Source organism: Homo sapiens, chromosome 5 (genome assembly GCF_000001405.40).
Source record: "Homo sapiens chromosome 5, GRCh38.p14 Primary Assembly".
Lineage (NCBI taxonomy): Eukaryota > Metazoa > Chordata > Mammalia > Primates > Hominidae > Homo > Homo sapiens.
In genome coordinates, this window is record NC_000005.10 from 161,978,371 (window position 1) to 162,001,587 (window position 23,217).

A 23,217-nucleotide genomic window follows, 5' to 3' on the forward strand; every position below is an offset into this window, starting at 1 on the left:
GTTGGTGGGACTGTAAACTAGTTCAACCATTGTGGAAGTCAGTGTGGCAATTCCTCAGGGATCTAGAACTAGAAATACCATTTGACCCAGCCATCCCATTACTGGGTATACACCCAAAGGATTATAAATCGTGCTGCTATAAAGACACATGCACATGTATGTTTATTGCGGCACTATTCACAATAGCAAAGACTTGGAACCAACCCAAATGCCCAACAATGATAGACTGGATTAAGAAAATGTGGCACATATACACCATGGAATACTATGCAGCCATAAAAAATGATGAGTTCATGTCCTTTGTAGGGACATGGATGAAACTGGAAACCATCATTCTCAGCAAACTATCGCAAGGACAAAAAACCAAACACCGAATGTTCTCACTCATAGGTGGGAATTGAACAATGAGAACACATGGACACAGGAAGGGGAACATCACACTCTGGAGACTGTTGTGGGGTTGGGGGAAGGGGGAGGGATAGCATTGGGAGATATACCTAATGTTAAATGAAGAGTTAATGGGTGCAGCACACCAACATGGCACATGTATACATATGTAAGAAACCTGCACATTGTGCACATATACCCTAAAACTTAAAGTATAATAATAATAAAATAAAAATAAAAAATAAAAAGTTTAACCATCTTAAGCCAAATAAATATGACTAATTTTTCTTTGAAAAAAAAGAAATAATCGTTGATAGTTTATAAGTCAAAAAAAAAAAACAAAAGTAAATTTTTAATCAAAAGCATTTTTAGAAAGGGACCTCCAGGCACAAATGGTTTCACTGGTGAATTGTTATAGATGTTTTAGAGAAAAATGAAACCATCTTTAAAATTTTTTTTCACACAATGGAAACAGTAAGTATACATGTTATCTTAGTTTATAAGGCCAGGACATTGTAAGAAAAGATAATTACATGTTAATCTCTCTTATAAATACAGACCTAAGAGTGCAAAACTAAATATTTGCTAATTGAATCCAGCCATATAGAAAAAATAATATCTCACAATTCGGAAAACTAGAAACATAGGAAATAAAAATTATCTAATAAAGAATATTTATAAAATGCCTATTGTAAACATCATATACATTGACACATTGTTGAGAACATTTTTACTGAGTTCAGTCTCTACTGAATTCAACATGATGAAGTCCTAGGCAAAGCAATAAGGTAAGAAAAAGTACCTATGTAGAGGATTTGAAAAGTGGAAATAAAATTTTCATTTATTCACATATCACATTGGGGCTGGAAAAAGTTCTATAGGCATCTAACGAAAAACTTTTAGAACTAAGTCAATATCAAACAGTTACCTGGGTAATAATGTATATTTCTATGTATTAGCAAATATTAAAATGCTTTAGTTGTAGTAATATCAAAACAGTAAATGTGTAGAAATAAATTTAATCTAAAATACTGATTTTTATTCTTAATAGTTAAAGAAATCAAAATAAGTGTAATATCAAAACAGTAAATGTGTAGAAATAAATTTAATCTAAAATATTGATTTTTATTCTTAAAATTTAAAGAAATCAAAATAAGTGGAGAGATATACCACATTCATATAAAATCATAATCATTAGGCAAATAGATTTTCTTATTGGAAATTGATAAAAATTGACTATTAATAGCCAGATATAAAAGATTTATATGATATCATTAATGTAAAATTTTAATCCAGTGATATTAATATTTAATTTAAAAATTCAGAATTGTACTGCCTTTTTGGGGCAGTGGATGAGGTGTATTGATTTTGATAGGGGATAAGGAAGGCTTTCATTGTGCTAGAAATAATCTTTGTCTTCATCTGGATGGAATTTTCTAGACGTACTTGTTCATAAAAATCTACTAACCTTTTATGATTAAGGCAAATTATTTTTATTCAATTATATTAAATATTAATTTCTTAAAAAAGAAAAGATGTCTATATAACTTAAATAAAATTGATATAAGCTTAACATGGAGGAAGAAAATCTGAGAAAATGACTGGAAAAATCCATGGTATTTACATCTTTTAAAGTTTCTTCAATAATAAACGAGCAACATATTATTTCAATGGTGATGAAAATGACAGATACACTTAACTATTTCTGTGACTTCCATGTGTCATTTTAACACTTTATGGTGAATGAGTGCATCTCTTTAGAAACTTTAAAATATCAGTAAAATATTCAATTTTATTGATGTAGATATTGAAAAGCCCCTAATTTGAATGGCCCCAAATCCTAAATATTGTTTATAATATCATTTATTATATGTATAATAAGTTATGTATACATATAATACCTATCTATAATATATAACTCTATAAATTTAAGTCTTTTAATTCTGCTCTAATAGGTCATTTTAATGAAACTGCTTGAATATTTGATAGTCAATGGAATCATGGTTTCACTTGTTGAAACTACTCACAATACTTTTTTTCCATTAGGTTCATTATATGTTACTTTTTTATTTTAAATATTAATTTATCTCATTTTAAGATACATAATTTTTCTCTCTTTTTGTTTTGTTTTGTTTTGTTTTCATTGATAAAAATTACTTCTTATCATCAAGTTTGACCTTTTAAGGTTTAGGGCACCATTATTTTTCCAGGCCACCCAACTGTTCCATATTAGAATAGAAATGAACTAAACCCCTGTAAATATATGAATTGTTAGGTGTTGATAAATGAAATGCTCATTGCATTAACAAAAAGCCATTGACAGCAGAAATAAAATTATACATCAGAGTAAGGATTCAAAGCATGGTGAGTATAAGCTTTTGGTTAGCTAAATATATAATTTTTACCGAAGACATTCGTCTTTCTGTCTTCTTGACAAAGTTTTAATAATATTTCTTTACTTTTGTTTCAGTAAAATTAGAAGTACATAGGAGATAATAAAAGCTTCCCTAGACTAAGAATGAGGAGATCTGTATCCTAAGTACACAATACTATTAACTAACATTCAAACGTGGCTCAAAGTTATCTCAAATTTGCTGTTTAGAATCCTTCTTTTGAAAAAGATTTTGTAAGCCTTAATTATGCCACAATGACCTTAAGGTCAACTGATGCGAAGTGAGGGAATAGGCAAGACAAGTGTAATGTCAGATTAGGGTTACAAAATTGCTCCAAACTTGATGTAGTACCCAGAAGCTCTAGGAAAAGCATTACAATTTACTTTTTTTAAAAAAAATTATACTTTAATTTCTAGGATACATGTGCAGAACGTGCAGGTTTGCTACATAGGTGTACATGTGCCATGGTGGTTTGCTGCACCCTTCAAGCCATCATCTACGTTAGGTATTTTTCCTAATGCTATCCCTCCCCCAGCCCCCAACCCCCTGACAGGCCTCGGTGTGTGATGTTCCCCTCCCTGTGCCCATGTGTTCTCATTGTTCAACTCCCACTTCTGAGTGAGAACATGCAGTGTTTGGTTATCTATTCTTGTGTTAGTTTGCTGAGAATGATGGTTTCCAGCTTCATCCATGTCCCTACAAAGGACATGAACTCATTCTTTTTTATGGCTGTATAGTATTCCATGGTATATATGTGCCACATTTTCTTTATCCAGTCTATCATTGATGGGCATTTGGGTTAGTTCCAAGCCTTTGCTATTGTGAATAGTGCAGCAATAAACATACGTGTGCATGTGTCTTTATAGTAGAATGATTTATTATCCTTTGGGTATATACCCTGTAATGGGATGGCTGGGTCAAATGGTATTTCTAGTTCTAGATCCTTGAGGAATCGCCACACTGTCTTCCACAATGGTTAAACTAATTTCCACTCCCACCAACAGTGTAAAAGCATTCCCTTTTCTCCACATCCCCTCCAGCATCTGTTGTTTCCTGATTTTTTAATGATTGCCATTCTAACTGGCAAGAGATGGTATCTCATTGTGGTTTTGATTTGCATTTCTCTAATGATCAGTGATGGTGAGCTTTTTTTCATGTTTGTTGGCTGCATAAATGTCTTCTTTTAAGACAAGTCACACCCTGTTATTTCTTAGTTTATGAAGATTCGATAAGCTACTTCATCATATAAAAGGTGATTTTCATCCAAAATGTCCTTTTATTTTCTACATTTCAGAAAATAAAGGAACAAAATATAATGAGGGATCAGAAGGAACCAGAATATAAAAATGGCAGAAAATGAATTCCTGGGCTCAATGGATCTGCACACCTCAGCCTCCCAGAGTGCTGGGATTGCAGGCATGAACCACTGTGCCTGGCCCATAAATATTTCAATGAGTGTATATGTGCATGTATGTGTGTATGTATATATTACATGCAGAAGGAGAGAGAATCACACTCAACACAGAGAGCACTACCATCACCCCCAAAGGTTTCCTCCTGTTCATTTTCAGTCAGTCTTCTTCCATATGTCAGTCTCCTGGCAGTCATTGATCTGCATTTGTTACTATAGCCTTGACTTCTCTATTCCTTCAAATAAATGGAGTCATATAGTATGTAGTCATTTGCATCTGGCTTCTTTCACTTAATAGGATGCTTTTGAAATTCATCTATATATATTCCATATACATATGGGATTTAACTATTAAATAATTCTATAAAACAAGTGCTTTTCATCTATTTCTTTATATTTGTTTCAAATATATTAGGATTTCAGATATCCATTTTAAATAGAAGAAATGTGCACCTGAAAACATATATATGTATAGAATATATATGTGTGTGTGTGTGTATATATATATATATATATATATTCAGAAAATTTTTAGTATATGCCTACATTCTTTCTGTAATTCCTCACCTCAATTTTGGTTTTAGAGTGAATATTCTAATGGCAGGTCTTTTCATAGTCATCTTAAAAAGATGCTAAATGTATATAAATTCTACAAGTGTCACTATGACATTTTCGTTCCTAGCAAACACCAGATAGGTAGAAGCAACCCTGTAAATATTATTTTTAAAATAGTGTTTCCCATTTATGAGCAAAGCAGTGCAGTATCCTGGTTAAGAACACAGGCTCTGGGCTGGGCGTGGTGGCTCACGCCTGTAATTCCAACACTTTGGGAGGCCGAGGCAGGCTGATCATGAGGTCAGGAGATCGAGATCATCCTGGCTAACACAGTGAAACCCCGTCTCTACTAAAAAATACACAAAAATTAGCTGGCCGTGGTGGCAGGCGCCTGTAGTCCCAGCTACTCGGGAGGCTGAGGCAGGAGAATGGCGTGAACCCAGGAAGCAGAGCTTGCAGTGAGCCAAGATCGCGCCACTGCACTCCATCCTGGGTGACAGAGTGAGACTCTGTCTCAAAAAAAAAAAAGAACACACGCTCTGGAACATGCCTGAGTTCAAAGCACATTCCTGCCGCTTATGAACTGAATGTTTGGTATAGTTAATCTCACAGTGTCTAAACCTATAAACTGGGGAAATAATAGTGACCACTTGAGAGGATAATGATTATATTACTTAATGCATGTTGCATGCTTAAAACAGTGCATTTTGCATGTGATTTGCTCTGTACTAGCAGTCTTGATTAGCTAGCAAAGTAGAGTTGGTTTTGAAAATTGTATATGTGTTTATGTGTTAATTGCAGTCTATGTTGTGATATTAGGAAAATTAACTATTAAATAATTCTATAAAGCAAGTGCTTTGCATCTATTTCTTTATCTCTCTTTGTTTCAAATATATTAGGTTTCAAATATCCATCTTAAATAAAAGAAATGTGCACCTAAAAATTTCATAATTTAAATCCTGCAGGATTCATATGATCCACTGGTTGGAATCACTGATTTTTCTTGTCTGCCTCTGGACAATTTCTACACCTGCTCTCATACATATTCTCAGCATGGATCTCTGACAGCCTCCTTCTCTTTTTTTGGTCCTGCTTTGAATTAGGTTTTCTTATATTTACAATGGAGATAATGAATCTGGGGCCTAGTCATCTCGTGAAGATATTCACAAGGTCTTTTGAAAAAACATGGATCTCTTTGTAATCCATATTCTTGTAAAGAAATAATATTGTTCTATCATGTTCATAAACACCTACCCAAATCAGAAATACAGATGACATGTAAGTCATAATCCTTTCGTCCAAGGCTTACACTCACAGGACTCATTTTCTTTTGGCATTTACTTCATGCCCCATAAAGTTTTAAAATCAATATTTCAAAGCCTCCTTTAATCAGATTTTCTATGGCCTTTATCCTTACAAAAATGTTGGCTGCTTTACATTGTACTAGAGTCTAGCTTTGTCATTCAAACTTTAGACTATGAAATTGGTTTAATTACATAGTTAAAGAATCCATAATCTGCCTAAACTTTGTAAAGAAATTCTCTGCTTTGGTATTAAAACAGGAAAGTCAATTTATAATAACAAGCTAAACAGATTATAGAACCTTTTCTTCTATAATTTTTCATGTTCTACTTTTTTATTGGGATCTGGAAATTATTTTCATTATGGATAATTCTTAGAGAAGAACTTTATAAATACACATTACACTGTAATTAATAACAAAAACTTAATGCCAGTTGTTGGTTTTGTATCATCTGAGATAAAAGTAGAAGCATAAATCTCCTGTCTTCTTGATTGCTAAAGATATTTCAAACCATGGCTAAAAATAACTTCATACAATCAAGTTTGACCTTTTAATATTCATAGGGGTTTATGGCATCTTTTTATTTCTCTGTTTCAGGAACCACTGTTCTTTAAAAAATGGAAAATAAGATGTAACTCTTAAAATATTTCAGAGCAAACTTTCCTGGGTTTAAAATTCTATTTATTTTTACTTTTATTTTTTTTCCTTTTAGGTATTTCAAAATATTTTTAATTTCAGTGTAATCATTATATATATTAATTCCTTAAGGTCAAAAAGCTGATACACACTGCCTAATAGTTGAAAACGAACTAGAATTCCCATAAAAAGAATGTATACTTAGTGGTTAATAAATGAAACAAAATATTTGTTTTATGTTTAAAAAGTCAATCATAGAGCCATAATTTAAATATCACATAAGAAATAGCATTCAATGCATTTGGTGAACATAAGTCATCTCTTAGATCAATAAACACATCTGTTTTTCTGGGACTGTTAATAATTTTTTTTCCTTTATAAAAAAAATCAGTGCTGTTTTGTTTTGTCCTTTCTAGATGAGCATTCTATCACCCTCAGGGATATTTCTAATTTATTTAAAAAATAAAGAACTCTCATGTTAGATAATTTCATAAACTATAAGAGACTTAGAGCTAATGTGGACCTCTGAAGAAATTAAGATCAGTTACTCTGGATAATTTAACCAAGACACTCTTTTATAAAACACTGTCTTTCTAATTCTTACAAAAACAGAATCCAAAACCAGAGAGATTTAGTTTTCAGACTTTCAAAGAACCAAATCCACATAAATAAAAATTAAATTTTAGTAGTTCTCTGTTACTAGGTTAGGCATAATATATTAGATATATTTTTGCCCAAGTTGGAAGAACAATTGGAATGGTCTGACTTAAATGCATATCTTATTTGATAAAGTATTAAATCTTTGGTGGTTGGATTTATATTTATTGTACAATTATTCATGGACTTGTTTCAAAATACAGTCTTTGGAATATAGGGTTTGACCTGGGTTTGAGTCCCAATATCACCACTCTAAATTACCAGGAAAATCCTTTAATTACAATTAGCCTCACGTTTTCTCATCTGCAAAATGAGGACAATAATACCTTATATACATCATAGGGTAGTTATTTGATTAAAGGGTAGTTATTTGACTATCTCATAGGTAGTTATGAGATGAGGCACATAAAGTACCCAGCACAGTACCTGGTGTACAGAAAGTGTTCATTAACATTTGTTAGCTATTATTGGTATTATTATTACACTTAGGCAGTTGTTGTGAATGTTAGTGATTGCCACAAAGATAAACAAATTGGACTTCTGAATACTACTGGTACAGATAGCAGGTATTTGCGTGTGTTGGGGGTGGAGGACAGCTTTCTCCTCTTGTGTCACTAGTTCATTCATTAAATACAATTCAACAAAGTTCAACCATCCACAATTATTCCCTGTTAATATACAAATATTTATTAGCAACTGTCATCTATATAGTATCTACTGTATAATATATAAAGAGCCAGTGGGTAACATTTTAGTAGTATAAGGCATGGATGGTCTATGTTCTTAAATAATTTGTATTTTGGCTGAATTAAAGAAGACTAATTCCTACAGGTCATTCACACACAACATAATGGACTATAAACTCAAAGGCTAAATATCATAGCAAAAGTGTTGATGTGGTAGTGTATTGGTAAGAAGTTCTCCAACTTCTTACCTATTTATTTAATACCTATGAATTATTCCTTATTCCTTATTTAATACCTATGAATTATTCCTTTCTCCAATGGTTCAGATGAATACTAAAATTACATGAAAATTCCTACATCTTATTTTGGGGAAACAAAACGTATTCAGAAATAGATAAAATGTGGGTTCTTCAAATGACCCAGTTTAATAGACAATAATGTTGAAATGACTAAATTTGGACCCTGCAGATAGATGGATAGATAAATGCATAGATAGATAGATAGATAGATAGATAGATAGATAGATAGATAGATAGATAGATAGACATCAGCATAGATAAGGATTAATCTGCAATCTATACTTTACAAATCGCAGAAACAAATTTTAAATATATTCATCAAGCAAAGTGGGGAGTAGGAGAGAAGGATTGATACTGGAATTTGCAGGGTAAGCACTAAATTCAGAAATAGCTTAATCCATGTTCAAACAATATTGTGGGTTTCTCCCTCTTTTCTTTATACCCATCCATCATTCAGCTGGCCTTCCCTGACTTGTGTTAGATGCACTTTCTTGCAGACTTTCTCTATGAGGTGGCCCCTGGCAGTCCAAAGTTACATCCTCACTACCTCAAGGACAAACAGGAATCAGAGACAAATGATTTTTTAACCATCTCAACAAAAATCCCATGAGTACATTATCTGCATCATTAGTTCTGGTTTGTGTACCTACATGACCATGCCTGAAGTAAGCACACTTGTGTATGAGGGAGGGAAATGAGAGAGGGTTACAATGCCTTAATTGGTCAAGTCTGATATTCCTAATGCTAGAGGTGAATTCAGCACCACCACAAATAAACCAAGTGAATTCTTATGAAGGAAAGGTTTCTTCTCCAATGAAAAAATCACTATTGTATCAAAAGAACATTATATAGATGCCTGGAATCTTCCAAAACAGATGCCCATTATACTGATAAAGGCAGGTTTGACTCCAGATTACCAGTGCTTATTGTAGAAACCCTAGCACTGTTCCAATAATTTCAGTCAAATCTTCTTCAGCAACAGCTACTTAGTAACTAAACTCTAAATTGCTTTCCAGTGAGCTTTCAATACTTTAAACTACTTAGGTAAATATTATAATCTTCATACTGCAGATGAGGAAACTGGAGCATATCTGGGGTTTGTGAATGGCTATAGGGCAAATAGAATGAGGAAAAATTATACAAAGCCATGTCTACCTAATGTAATTACCTTACCAATTTAATGAAATCATTCAGCATTCTCTTAAGTCATAAGTCATAAAGCCCATGTCCTATAAGAGCAAGAAAGATAATATAAATTGATGGAGTGAGCAGGGTAGTGATGAACAAAGTCATGAGTCTGCATATCTTCTCCAAAGGGGACAGCTTCTACTCAGTGCCAAATAGTTGTTATCATGCAAAAATTCAGGCCGTGTATGCCTAATCTTCTCATTTTTAAAAAAGTGGCTGACTGTCTGATGGTGGTATGAAATTTCCTCATATTTAAAACTCAAAATCTAATTTATTGAAAAACAAAATGCAACTCTGTGGGCCACAAAGAAACATTTCTCATGCCATCCATATATGGCCTGCTAATTCCAATAGCTCAAGACTCTGGCTCCCACTCAATGTCAACACTGCAGAATTAAGTATGTTTACTCCACCTTTCTCAACCTACTGTTCTGAGAATGAATAAATTCACAGGAGCATTGTGCTGTTTGTTGGCTAAATGAGCTGCATACATTAATCTTGTTCGTGATCATTTTTCTTTGTCCTCCTCTTTCTTTGCTGCATTGTTATTATATCTCCAAAAATTGTGGAGTAAAGTGGAAGAAGAAGCAGATAGTATAGAAAAAATTAGGAAGATGATCAGAAAGATTCCATCTAGTTAATATGGAGATAAAAGAGGGCAATAATTTGAAAAAAAGTTTCAGAGATAGAATCAAAAGTATTTAACTCCTTTGGATAGTTAAGAGAGAGGAATTGTAGGGTGTATTTGTCTATTTTCACACTGCTGATAAAGACATAGCTGAGACTGGGCAATTTACAAGAAAAAAAAAAGAGGTTTAATTGGACTTACGGTTCCACAAGGGTGAGGAGGCCTCACAATCATAGTGGAAGGCAAGGAGGAGCAAGTCACATCTCACATGGATAGCAGCAGGAAAAGAGAGCTTGTACAGGAAATTCCCCCTTATAATAACCATCAGATGTCATAAGACTTACTCTCCATTATGAGAATAACATGGGAAAGACCTGCCCATATGATTCAATTACCTCCCACTGGGTCTCTGCCACAAGATGTGGGAATTCAAGATGAGATTAAAGTGGGGACACAGCCAAACCATATCATTCTGCCCTGGCCCTCTCAAATCTCATGTGCTCACATTGAAAAATCAATCATGCCTTCCCAAAAGTCCCCCAAAGTCTTAACTCATTTCAGCCTTAATTCTAAAGTCCACAAGTCCAAAGTCTCATCTGAGACAAGGCAAGTCCCTTCTGCCTATGAGCCTGTAAAATCAAAAGCAAGTTAGTTACTTCCTAGATACAATGGAGGTACAGGCATTGAATAAATACAGCCATTCCAAACGGGAGCTATTGGACAAAACAAAGGGGCTACAGGCCCTATGCAAGTCCAGTGGGACAGTCAAATCTTAAAGATCCAGAATGATCTCCTTTGACTCCATGTCTCATATCCACATCACAGTGATGCAACAGGTGGGCCCATGGTCGTGGGCAGCTCCCTGTGGCTTTGCAGGGTATAGCCCCCCTCCTGGCAGCTTTCATAGCTGGCATTGAGGTCTGTGTCTTTTCCAGGAGCAGAGTGCAAGCTGTCAGTGGATCTACCATTCTGGTGTCTGGAGGACTGTGGCCCTCTTCTCACAGCTGTACTAGGCAGTGCCCCAGTAGGGACTCTGTGTTGGGGCTCCCACCCGACCTTTCCCTTCCATACTGTCCTCACAGAGGTTCTCCACAAGGGCCCTGCCCCGGCAGCAAACTTCTGACTGGGCATCCATGCATTTCCATATTGCCCCGTCTCCCTTATGTTTTTATCAGGTGAAATCTAGGTGGAGGCTACCAAATCCCATTTCTTGACTTCTGTGAACTCGCAGGCTCAACACCACATGGAAGCTGCCAAAGTTTGGGGCTTCCACCCTCTGAAGCAACAGCCCAAGCTGTACCTTGGCCCCTTTTAGTCATGGTTGGAGTGGCTGGGATGCAGGGCACCAAGTCCCTAGACTGCACACAGCATGGGGACCCTGGGCCATGTCCAAGAAACCATTTTCTCCTAAGCCTCCAGGCTTGTGATGGGAGGCCTGCTGTGAAGACCTTTGACATGCACTGGGGACATTTTCCCCATTGTTTTGGAAATTAACATTCTGCTTCTCATTACTTATGCAAATTTCTGCAGCCAGCTTGACTTTCTCCTCAGAAAATGGAATGTTCTTTTCTATCACATTTTCAGGCTGCAAATTTTCTGAACGTTTATGTTCTGATTCCCTTACAAAACTGAATGCCTTTAACAGCACCCAAGTCACCTCTTGAATGCTTTGCTGCTTAGAAAGTACTTCCACTAGATATCCTAAATCACCTCACTCAAGTTCAAAGTTCCAAAAATCTCTAGGGCAGGGGGAAAATGTCGCCAGTCTCTTTGCTAAAATATAACAAGAGTCACCTTTGCTCCAGTACCCCAAAACTTCCTCATTTCCATCTGAGACCACTTCAGCCTAGACTTTATTTTGCATATCGCTATCAGCATTTTGGGCAAAGCCATTCAATAAGTATCTAGGAGGTTCCAAACTTTCCCATATCATCCTGTCTTTCTGAATCCTCCAAACTGTTCCAACTGTTAGCTAGTTCCAAAGTCGCTTCCACATTTTTGGGTATCTTTTCAGCAGCACCCCACTCTACTGGTACCAATTTACTGTATTAGTCCATTTTCATGCTGCTGATAAAGATATACCCAAGACTGGGCAATTTACAAAACAAAGAGATTTAATTGGTCTTATAGTTCCACATGGCTGGGGAAGCCTCACAATCATGGTGGAAGGCAAGGAGAAGTGAGTCACAGCTTATGTGGATGGTGGCAGGCAAAGAGAGCTTGTGCAGGAAAACTCCCCCTTACAATAACCATCAGATTTGTGAGACTTACCCACTCTCATGAGAACAGCATGGGAAAGATCTGCCCCAATGATTCAATTATCTCTTACTGGGTCCCTGTCACAACACATGGGAATTCAAGATGAGATCTGGGTAGGGACACAGCCAAACCATATCACAGGGATTTCCCTGATTTTTACTTCATAAAAATATTAAGGTCAAGAGGGCTTGTTCAAATCCCTGATTGATTACAGAGATGTACCTGGAACAACCCAGACATTGTTGTGACTTCCAGCTATCAGTTGTCCAGCTCTTTCAAATCCCCAGAGATACTCAGGTTCTCTCTCTCTTTTAGTCTCTCTCTCTCTCACTCTTTCTCTCTCTCTGTGAATGTGTGTGTGTGTATTACACAGTGAGGTGACAAATGGATAGAGACATGCTGCTTATATTTGTGCCTGATCATATGAAAATATTAAAATGTGGAAAGGAGAATTGATGTTGAGCATAAAACATAAGTAAAACAAAACCAAAAAGAATAGATATCATTCTTTCAGTAATAAAATTCATTGTTCTTCTAAACATTCCAAAAGTACTTTTTTTTTTTTTTTTTTTTTTTTTGAGACGGAGTCTCGCTCTTTCGCCCAGGCTGGACTGCAGTGGCGCTATCTTGGCTCACTGCAAGCTCCGCCTCCCAGGTTCACGCCATTCTCCTGCCTCAGCCGCCCGAGTAGCTGGGACTACAGGCGCCTGCCACCACACCCGGCTAATTTTTTTTTGTATTTTTAATAGAGACGGGGTTTCACCGTGTTAGCCAGGATGGTCTCGACCTCCTGACCTCGTGATCCGCCCGCCTCGGCCTCCCAAAGTGCTGGGATTACAGGCATGAGCCACCGCGCCTGGCCCCAAAAGTACTTTAAGGAAAGATCTGAATGCCTGTCTATCGGTCTATCTTTCTATCTCTCTACCTCCCTCCCTTTATTTGATCACCTAAAACAGGAGCATGCCTGTAATATTTTCTCAAATAATTTATTTTTCATTTCTTTCATTTGAGTAGGAAGGTTTTGCCTACAACTTGGTTTCAATTTCCCTACATTTTCTCCCACACATCACTTTTGTCACAGTCATATTAGCCTTTCTCTTTTTGTTCCTGGAACATGCCAAATTATTTTTCACTTGCTCTTTTTACTGCCTGAAATGTTCTTTCCTCAAAATTTCACAGGCCTGACTATTTCTCCCTATTCAGACACCAGCTCAAATGCCCATTACTATTCAATCTGAAGTAAGTCCAGTCAAAGATTCTGTCCCTAATATTATCTTAAAACAATCATCCTATAGATTTATTGCTTCTGTTGTTTTTCTCTTCCACAAGATGGAAAGCTCTATTTGAAAAGTTCTTATCTGTCAACGGCACCATAGCATCCCCAAATCTAGAAGAGCGATTGACACACTGGTGGTGCAAAGGTCTTGGAGGGGCCACATCTTTACATCTTCTCCATAAGTGTTCGAGAAACAGAGAGGTGGAAAAAAAAAGAGAAAAAAGGAGTGGCAGATGATAAGTCCAGTCAATGATTCTGTCCCTAATATTATCTTAAAACAATCATCCTATAGATTTATTGCTTTTGTTGTTTGTCTCTTCCACAAGATGGAAAGCTGTATTTGAAGAGTTCTTATCTGTCAATGGCACCCCAAATCTAGAAGAGTGACTGACACATTGGTGGTGCAAAGGTCCACATCTTTACATCTTCTCCATAAGTGTTTGAGAAACAGAGATGGGGGAAAAAAAGAGAAAAAAGGAGTGGAAGATGAAGGTCAAAGTATTATCTACATCACTGGCTGTAGTATAGTGTGATAAACAAATAGGTCAACTAATTAACACAAGAATTAGGCTGACTCTCTCTACCTGTTTCAGTCAATATCAGCTGGGTCAGGCCTGATGCAGAAAAATATACTGCTGGAGGATCAAATGAGAATTCATGACTTACAATGAAAAAAGAAGGAGCTGTACTGAGACTGACCAGTTTATTCTTCTGGTATCAGATGAGATCACTCTGCTGTCCTAGAGGGTCAGTATGTCAAGAGGCGGAGAGAAGCCAATAGGTACATTAACTGACCTCCTTTCACCTGGAAAGAAGTGTCTCAAGAGAGAAATTAGTGATATCTCCTAAATAAGAAATCAATAAATATTCTTTGAATAATTTTTTCGTGAACTCATTACAGATGACAAAATGGAGATGTTGTGGGGTTAAAAGAGATTTTCCCCCAGATTTAAAGCAGGTGTCCTGTTTTCTAGTCCAGTATTTTCATACAACACTGTAATAAAGTATTTCTGAATTTAAACTTACTGGTGGCCAGCAAAGGCCACAGGAACTAATAATGAGGCATGAATGAAAGAAAACAGATATGTCCTGAAATTGTAATAGGGGACATGAGACCAGTGTTTACATTCCAAGCACCCATCAGTTTGGGATCTAAGAGCCGGTTTTCTCTGCTCATTGGCTGCTCATTTTCAGTGAGTCTCCATTACTAAAAGAAGACAAATAAACCATGGATAGAAACTAATCTATCTACACTCAATTAAACTACGACGCACTTAATTTTTTTGCCCCTAAGAGAGTGCAATTAGTCCCCTTTGAAAATGTATTCCTGTTCCAAGGGAATAGCAGAACCTCTGAAAATGGATGTTGAAAGCAAAAATGTTTTGAAGAAAGTCTCCTCACCCTTTCTTAACCATCTGGCATTTCAGTTTTCCCTCTTTAGGCCCAACTTCCCCTTGTTCAGTCCCTGATGCCTCCCTAAGATAATTCTCTGCATGTCATTGTTTTTCTAGTAATAATTTTCTTCTTATTGTTCACAGAGGCACCTAGGCTAAGATCTAAGAATGTATAGAGTCAGAAGTGTACCCTAGAAGTCACCCTGGCTTTGGAGGACAAAGTTCTAATTTCTAGTTCTTCGTTTTGTAACTCTGGGAAACTTGTTTCACTCTCTCTGGGCTTCAAGGCCCTTATTTTTAATTTGAAGTACGGGATTTCAGTTAGCAATAGAACACCTGAAACATTTTTTTCATCAAACTCTTAAATAAAAAGCAATAAAAATATGCAACTTCTCTGGTTAAAGTAGAAAGAGGTTGTGGGGGAAAGGGCAAAAACCAAAGGAAGTCCTTCTCAGGCCGTTAGATGTACAGGGAACAAGCCACTGAACTAAACAATGTCTGATATTCTTTGCATTTCTAATAACTCTGATTCCTTTTTAGTGAAATATGGTCTGTAGTTATCAGATAGATCTAAGTTTGAATTCAAGTATCTGTGTGACCCTTGGAAATTTATTTAACCTCTCTATGCAGATTGTTTCGTCTTTCGCAAACGGGGGAAGTTAAAATACATTACTCTGTTTTTCAAACAAATGTTGGCAAAATACTTTTTCTGAGACTTTCTTATCTCAACAATATCTTAGCATTTTTTCTGTGTAAATCTTCCTCATCTTTGTAACTGCTCCAAACTATTCCAAAGCATTAATCAAACATAATTACCCTTTGCCTTTCTATTGAACTTCAGAATTTTACCATATTTTTTTATTGTAAATAATCTTGCAATGAATATCTGTATGTTATCTACTTCCAAATGTAAAAGATATCTGGCTTATTTATACGTTTTTCTTTAATTCTTCCCAAAGCTCCATGTGTTAGACAGAATATAATTTTCTATTTGAGAATTGGGACTCAAACTCAGTTTTTTTCAGACTTCTAGAATATACAACTTTAAAAGAGTTACATTTCTAATAGTGAGATAATCATACTGTGGTCCCTCGCCCCCTGTAGTATTGGAGAAGACCAGATCTATGGCAGCCGTTTAGTGACTTTTTGGAAAACTTGCAAATTCTGATTGCAGGATTAATTTGAGTTCTGGAGTTTTAACCAGGACAGGCAAAACTTCAGCATTTGTGGTTGGGTGTGATCGCTCATGCCTGTAATCTCAACATTTTGGGAGACTGAGGTGGGCAGATCACCTGAGGTCAGGAGTTCAAGATTAGCATGGGCAACATGGCGAAACCCAGTCTCTACTAAAAATACAAATATCAGCTGGGAGGGGTGGTGCATGCCTGTAATCCCAGCTCGTGGGATTGAGGCACGAGAATGGCTTGAACCCCAGAAGTGCAGGTCGAAGTGAGCCGAGATTGGGCCACTGCACTCCAGCCTGGGCAACATGTTGAGATTCTGTTTCAGAAAACAAAAACAAAACTTTAGCAATTGTTTTTCTATCCATTGTTGGAGGGAAAAACAACAACCACAACAACACCTAGAACAACTTCTGAGTTAAGAGATGGGCAAAACAATCTGAGTGTAATTTACTCAATTATTTTTAGTTCCACATGAGACACTGACCATTTGGCATTTGGCAAGAGAAGAAAAATTCATTCACGCAACTCTTGGGAAATGTTAGGAATCTGAAGAACATTACAAACCACGAAGCCAGTATTCTGCATAGATGAAATAATATCCCTGCTAACTCAGTTTCTCACCCTGGATCCTACCAGCAACTGACACCAATTGTCTTACTACCAAAATTGCTGCAGTCACTTTTCAAGTGGTCTTCATCATGGAACTAGTCCTTTCATAGACAAAGAGTACTGAAGCAACAATAAAGTTGAAGCTGAGAGCAAAAACCTAAACAAAACCACTCAAGCAAACAAACATGGCTGCAGTGCATACCCATCTCTAGTGGGGATCCTGACTCTCATCTATATGAACCTCAAATCTCCTTAAATATTATTTATAGCTTACTCTCTCATCCCTACTTTACTACTTATTTGATTTTATCCATACCCTCAAATAAGGAAAACAAATCTTATAGTCAATTATTTATCCCAGCTTACACACATCCCATCATTTCCAACTTTTGCAAAGTTACCTTGTTGCATCCTTTCCTTCCATTTCACTTTACCCACCATTCTCTAGGATGTCATTATCTCATGACTGGATGGATAAACAACATTAGTCTGTCATCAAACTTTACTTTAGTCTTCTCCTTTTGTAGAATATTCTAATCATCCAAATGAAATTCCCGGAATATATCATAATGTATATATTGTTACAAAGATCCTAAAACACTTGGCTGACTGCAATAAACAATCCTATTTACTTTCAAGTTCCTTTATTCTAGGACATAATTGGCCATCTTTGTTCTCATATAAATCCTCAAAATGAGTCTAGCTTTCCTGTCTTCGCTCCACACTTTTTTATTTTATTCTTTTTTTTTGTAAATCCAGCACATCCCCTCATATTAAATATAAAAAGAAATAACCCTCAAGCTTTGTATTGAGGAAAGCGAGGGAAGAAAATACATAGTGAAGTTACAAAGTGCTTAACTTCAGAATAGTGCTGCAATAAACATGGGAGTGCAGATACCTCTTCAATATACTGATTTCCTTTCTTTTGGGTGTACACCTAGCAGTGAGATTGCTGACTTATATGGTAGCTCTATTTATCATTTATTGAGGAGCTTCTAAACTGTTTTCTATAGTGGTTGTACTAATTTACATTCCCACTAACAGTGAATGAGGATTCCCTTTTCTAAACATCCTTGCCAACATTTGCTATTGCCCTTGTTTCAGATAAAAGTTGTTTTAACTGCAGTGAGATGATATCTTATTGTAGTTTTGATTTTCATTTATCTGATGATCAATGATGTTGAGCACCTTTTCCTATACCTGTTTGCCATTTGTATGTTTTCTTTTGAGAAATGTCTATTGAGATATTTTACCTGTCTTTAACTCATAAGTTAAATTTTTTCCTCTAGAGTTGTTTGAGCTCTTTATATATTCTGGCTATCAATCCCTTGTCAGATGAATAGTTTGCATATATTTTCTCCCATTCTGTGGGTTGTCTCTTCACTTTGTTGATTGTTTCTTTTGCTGAGCAGAGCTTTTTAATTTGATGTGATTCTATCTGTCCATTTTTGCTTTGGTTGCCTTTGCTTGTGGGGTATTACTCAAGAAATCTTTTCCCAGAGCAATGTCCTGGGGAATTTCCCAAATGTTTCCTTTTTGTAGTTTCAGTCTGAGGTCTTAGATTTAAGTCTTTAATCAATTTCAAGTTTATTTTGTATATGGCAAGACATAGGCATCTAGTTTCATTCTTCTGCATGTGGATATCATTTTCCCAGCACCATTTATTGAAGAGATTGTCCTTTCTCCAATATCTGAATAGACATTTCTCAAAATAAGACATACAAATGGCAAACAGGTAAAAGAGAACGTGCTCAACATCATTGATACAACAATCTGAGAAATGCAAATCAAAATTACAATGTGATATCATCTCACTACAGTTAAAATGGCTTGTATCCAAAAGACAGGCAATAATACATGCTGGTGAGGATATGGAGAAAAGGGAACCCTGTACACTGTTGATGAAAATGTAAGTTAGTAAAACTACTATGCAGAACAGTTTTGAGGTTCCTCGAAAAACTAAAAAGAGCTACCATACGATCCAGCAATCCCACTGCTGGGTATATACCCCCCAAAAAGGAAATCAGTATATTGAAGAGATATCTACACTCCCATATTCATTGCAGCTCTATTCACAATAGCCAGGATGTGGAAGCAACCTAAGTGTCCATCAACAAATGAATGGATAAAGAAAATGTGGCACAAATACACAATGGTGCACTATTCATCCATAAAATATATGAGATACTGTTATTTACAAAAACATGGATGGACCGTCTGGCCATTATGTTAACTTAAATAAGCCAGGCACAGAAAGACAAACTTGACATGTTCTTACTGATTTGCGGGAACTAAAAATTAAAACAATTGAACTCATGGAGATAGAGAGAGGACAATGGTTACCAGAGGCTGGGAAAGGTAGTTGGAGGTTTAGAGGGAAAGTGGGGATGGTTAATGGGTACAAAAAGTAGTTATATAGAATTAATACGATCTAGTATTTGAAAGCACAACAGTCAATAATAATAATTTAATTGTGAATTTCAAAATAACTAAAAGAGTATAATTGGATGGTTTGTAACACAAAATATAAATGCTTGAGGTGATGAATGCCACATTTACCCTGATATGATTATTACACATTGCATAACTGTATCAAAATATCTCATTTACTCCATAAATACATACACCTCCATGAATACATACACCTCCTATGAACCCACAAAAATTGAAAATAGAAATTTTTACAAAAAGAAAGAAAAAATGCTTATCTTGGGGAAAATGGGAGTGTAGGTATCATTTTATATCATTTTTCTACTTTTCTCTACTGTTTACAGTTTTTAGTGGGAAAGCATTTCTTTTATAACACAGAAAAGAAAAAAACAGCCATTTTCTTACTTTGCTATCTACTCTCTTCCATCTTAGCATTGGAATTTTTAAAAATATTTGAACATGTTGCTGCACAGAATAAATAACCATGTTTTCCCGTTTGCTTTACAGTTAGATATGGCCATGTGACTTAGTTATGGCCAATGAGATGTAAAGGGAAATAGTATATACAATTTTGAGAAAGTTGGATCATTTGGAACTAAAATTGGCTGAAAAAAAAGGGACTTTTTCTTCTATCTTCCATCTTTCCTTGTCAAGTAATGATATTTTAGAATTCCCACAACCATCTTGGATCATGAAGTGAACTTGAAAATAGAAGCACTAAAGAGAGTGATGGAGCAGAACAATAGCAGTCTGGGGCCCTGAATCACAGCGTGGAGCCTTCTTATCTGCTTCAGCTTATCTACCTCCAGACTTCACTTCTCTTTTTCCAGAGATGGAAAATAAAGTTGACCTTGTTTAGGTGATCATTGCTCTAGTTATTGCTTGTTGTATATGCAGAGAAGCCTAAACCTAACTAACGCAAGGAGGTAAAAAATAAATCATCATAATGTTGTTAATAATTTAAAGTAATATAATTTATGATCACATAAATCAACACACAAACGATTTACATAATTTATTTGTAAGAAGAAAGAGCTAATTATTCAGTCCTGGGACTCCTAGCTTCCAATATCAAATCCACCTTTCACAGCAGTATGAATTTACTGCATCTATTGAATCTCAGTGTCTTATTCAATATAATAGGGTGTGCAGTTCCCACATTGATCTCTATCTCCTGGCCTTCATTCTCTTGTGTATTCCTCCCCTTGAGTACAGACTGCAATTATTGTTTCTATTCTGTTCTAATTTATATCTACATTTGTATATGTAGAGAAGCCAAAATCTAAGAAATGAGCTTTAGTTAGGTTTAGGAATATACAACAAGCAACAACTACAGCAACAATCACCTAAATAAGATCAATTAGCTCATAAAAGACCATCATTTCCATCTTTCACTTGCTTGCTCTTTCTCTCTCGCTCCTTCTCTCCTTCCCTCCCTCCCTCATTCTCCTTGGCTCCGTTGCCATGAAGAAGAAGCCAGCTGCTATATCCTGAGCAGCCCTGTAGAGAAGCCCATACTTCATGGCTGAGATCTGAAGCTGTCAGTTCAGCAGCCAGTAAAAAACCTGAAGCCTAATAATCATGTGTGTGACCTTAGTGGATCCTTTGGACTCACTTAAGTCTTGGTATGTCTGCAGCTCTCGCTAACAGCTTATGTGAAACCTCATTAGAGACTTTGAGTCACAGAAATCCAGGCAAACCACTTCCAAATTTCTGACCACAGAAAGTGTGAGAATATAAATCTTGGTTGTTTTCAGTCGTTAAGTTTTGGAGTAATTTGTTATTCAGCAAAACATGGTTTAATTGTATTACATAGAGGTATAAGTATCTCCTCATATATATTTATTTTAATAAAACAGCTTGAACCCTGGTATTCAAGGCTGCAGTGAGCCAAGATTGCACCACTACACTCCAGGCTGGATGACAGAGTGAGATCCTCCCTCTTAAAAAATACATATATAAAAAGAAAAAGAAGCAAAAATGTTTTTATTAAAAATAATTAACAGAAAATTATTTCTGGGAATTTTATCTCTCATTTGCAGAGCATACTCCTCTTTCCACTTTAATTTCTAGATAAAGACTACTAAAATGTCTTATTTATCTTTTTTATAAGTCTTATGTTAGTGTATCATGGTCTTAATATAGAGTAGGCATAACAAAAGTTGCTTCACTATGGGCCATGCTTTAGGTAAGAGTTTTTAACCTCAGCACTACTGACATTTTAGGCCAGAAAACTGGCTAATTATTTGTTGTAGGAGAGTTGTATGGAGGATTGTAGGATATTTAGCTGCAATGCTGGCATTTACACACTAGATATCAACACCATCCCTCCCTCCAAGGTCTGACAATCAAAATTGTCTCCAGAAGTGGTCAAATGTTTCCAAGAGGAGCAGACAAAATTGCACCTGTTTAATGTTTTAATGTCCTGTATTATGGGCAAAAAGAGGGATTTTATTTGCAAGTAATAATTTGAACAGGGTTGAGTGATGTTCTTGGCAGATGGCACATCCTTTCTGCTGAACCTGTTAATGTCAGCCTGAGATGGACTATGACCTCCACAAAGGTAGCACTCAGTGATATGTCTGTGATTGTGCCATAGCTCCCACTCACTCTTTGAGGCAATCAATCATTGCTGATCATGGTCCTGGACAGTCTATATGTGTGTGTGTGTGTGTGAGTGTGTGTGTGTGTGTGTGTGTATTTTTTGTTTGTTTCTTTGTTTGTTTTCCCCAGGGTCTCACAAAACTTTCTAATCTTTTGGGACCTGTTTCTAGTCTATAATAGCGGAGTCAGATTTATCTGTTTTTATTTTCTTTCAAATGTATTCTTTCTAATATAAGCTTCTCCTTTTGGGGCTTAGCCATTTAAATTCTGAGTTAACAAGCTTGTACAAGCCAAAACCTTATGCTTTCAAGCTTAAATTCTCTCCAAAAAGTTAAAGAAGTTTGTTTTTATTTTTACTTCTGTTCTGTGCATATGATTTATCACTCTGATCTATTTTAATGTGAATAGCAATGTAAAATAAGTGGTAGTAGTTGACAGGGAAATAAATCCCTAGTAGTTAGTATATCAAAATATTCCCTCACTACAAATTTAAACAGATTATTTCAAAGTATTGGAAAAAATATAATATTTCAGTGTTGTATGTCTGTGAAATCTGGGTCACATTATTATGAAGCCATGACTCATAAGATTTAGTCTCTAAGGATGGTTGCTATTTTGCAGCATGATTTACAACTGAAAATTAATTAAAAGGAGATTCTATTCTTTTATATGTTACGGAGGCCACTACAGATGGTCCAAATCATTAACTGTCTAGCAAATTTTCTAATATTTCCTTTTAATTTTCAAGCATGGAGAGAGATACATATCTCTTCCTCAATTTGGTTTAATAACTTCTTTTCCTTTTCCCCTCATTCTTTCTTATAGAATTTTTAAGAACAAAAGGGCTTACCTCCAAAAAGGGGCAACACTTTCCTATATGTTGTGAAGAAAAAGAAACAGCTTCAGCGAGATTGCCATCCTCTTTCAGTCCAGGTTGAAGGGAAAGGCTCAGCACATAAAAGCACTAGCAATCTGTGCTGAGTGCTGAGAGAACACCAGAAAGGAAGTTCTCCATCTGTGTAAGGGGAGGAGGGAAATGGGTGGGCCAGGAAAGCATATATGGAGGACGTGGGGTCTTAAAAATGAAAAATGTGCCAGAAGGAGAAAAAAAGAGCTGCAGAAGTGTGATCTTGCACTTCTCTCTTCTCAATCTCTCTCTCTCTCTCTCTGAGACAGGATCTTACTCTGTCGCCCAGGCTGGAGTGCAGTGGCATGATCATAGTTCACTGCAGCCTTGGACTTCTGGGCTCAAGTAATCCTCCTACCTCTCCCTCCTGAGTAGCTGGGACTACAGCTCCACACTACTACAGCTGGGTAA

General features: G+C 36.1%; 1 long non-coding RNA gene across 1 annotated transcript in view; it reads right to left on the minus strand.

Moving 5' to 3' along the window:
• LINC01202 (long intergenic non-protein coding RNA 1202) overlaps window positions 1-22,826 on the minus strand; it is a 90,735-nt gene extending 67,909 nt beyond the window's left edge. The window contains exon 1 of the long non-coding RNA NR_126372.1: window positions 22,750-22,826. This is a non-coding gene — a long non-coding RNA (long intergenic non-protein coding RNA 1202). The remainder of the gene's footprint in view (window positions 1-22,749) is intronic.
• Window positions 22,827-23,217: the final 391 nt, after the last annotated feature.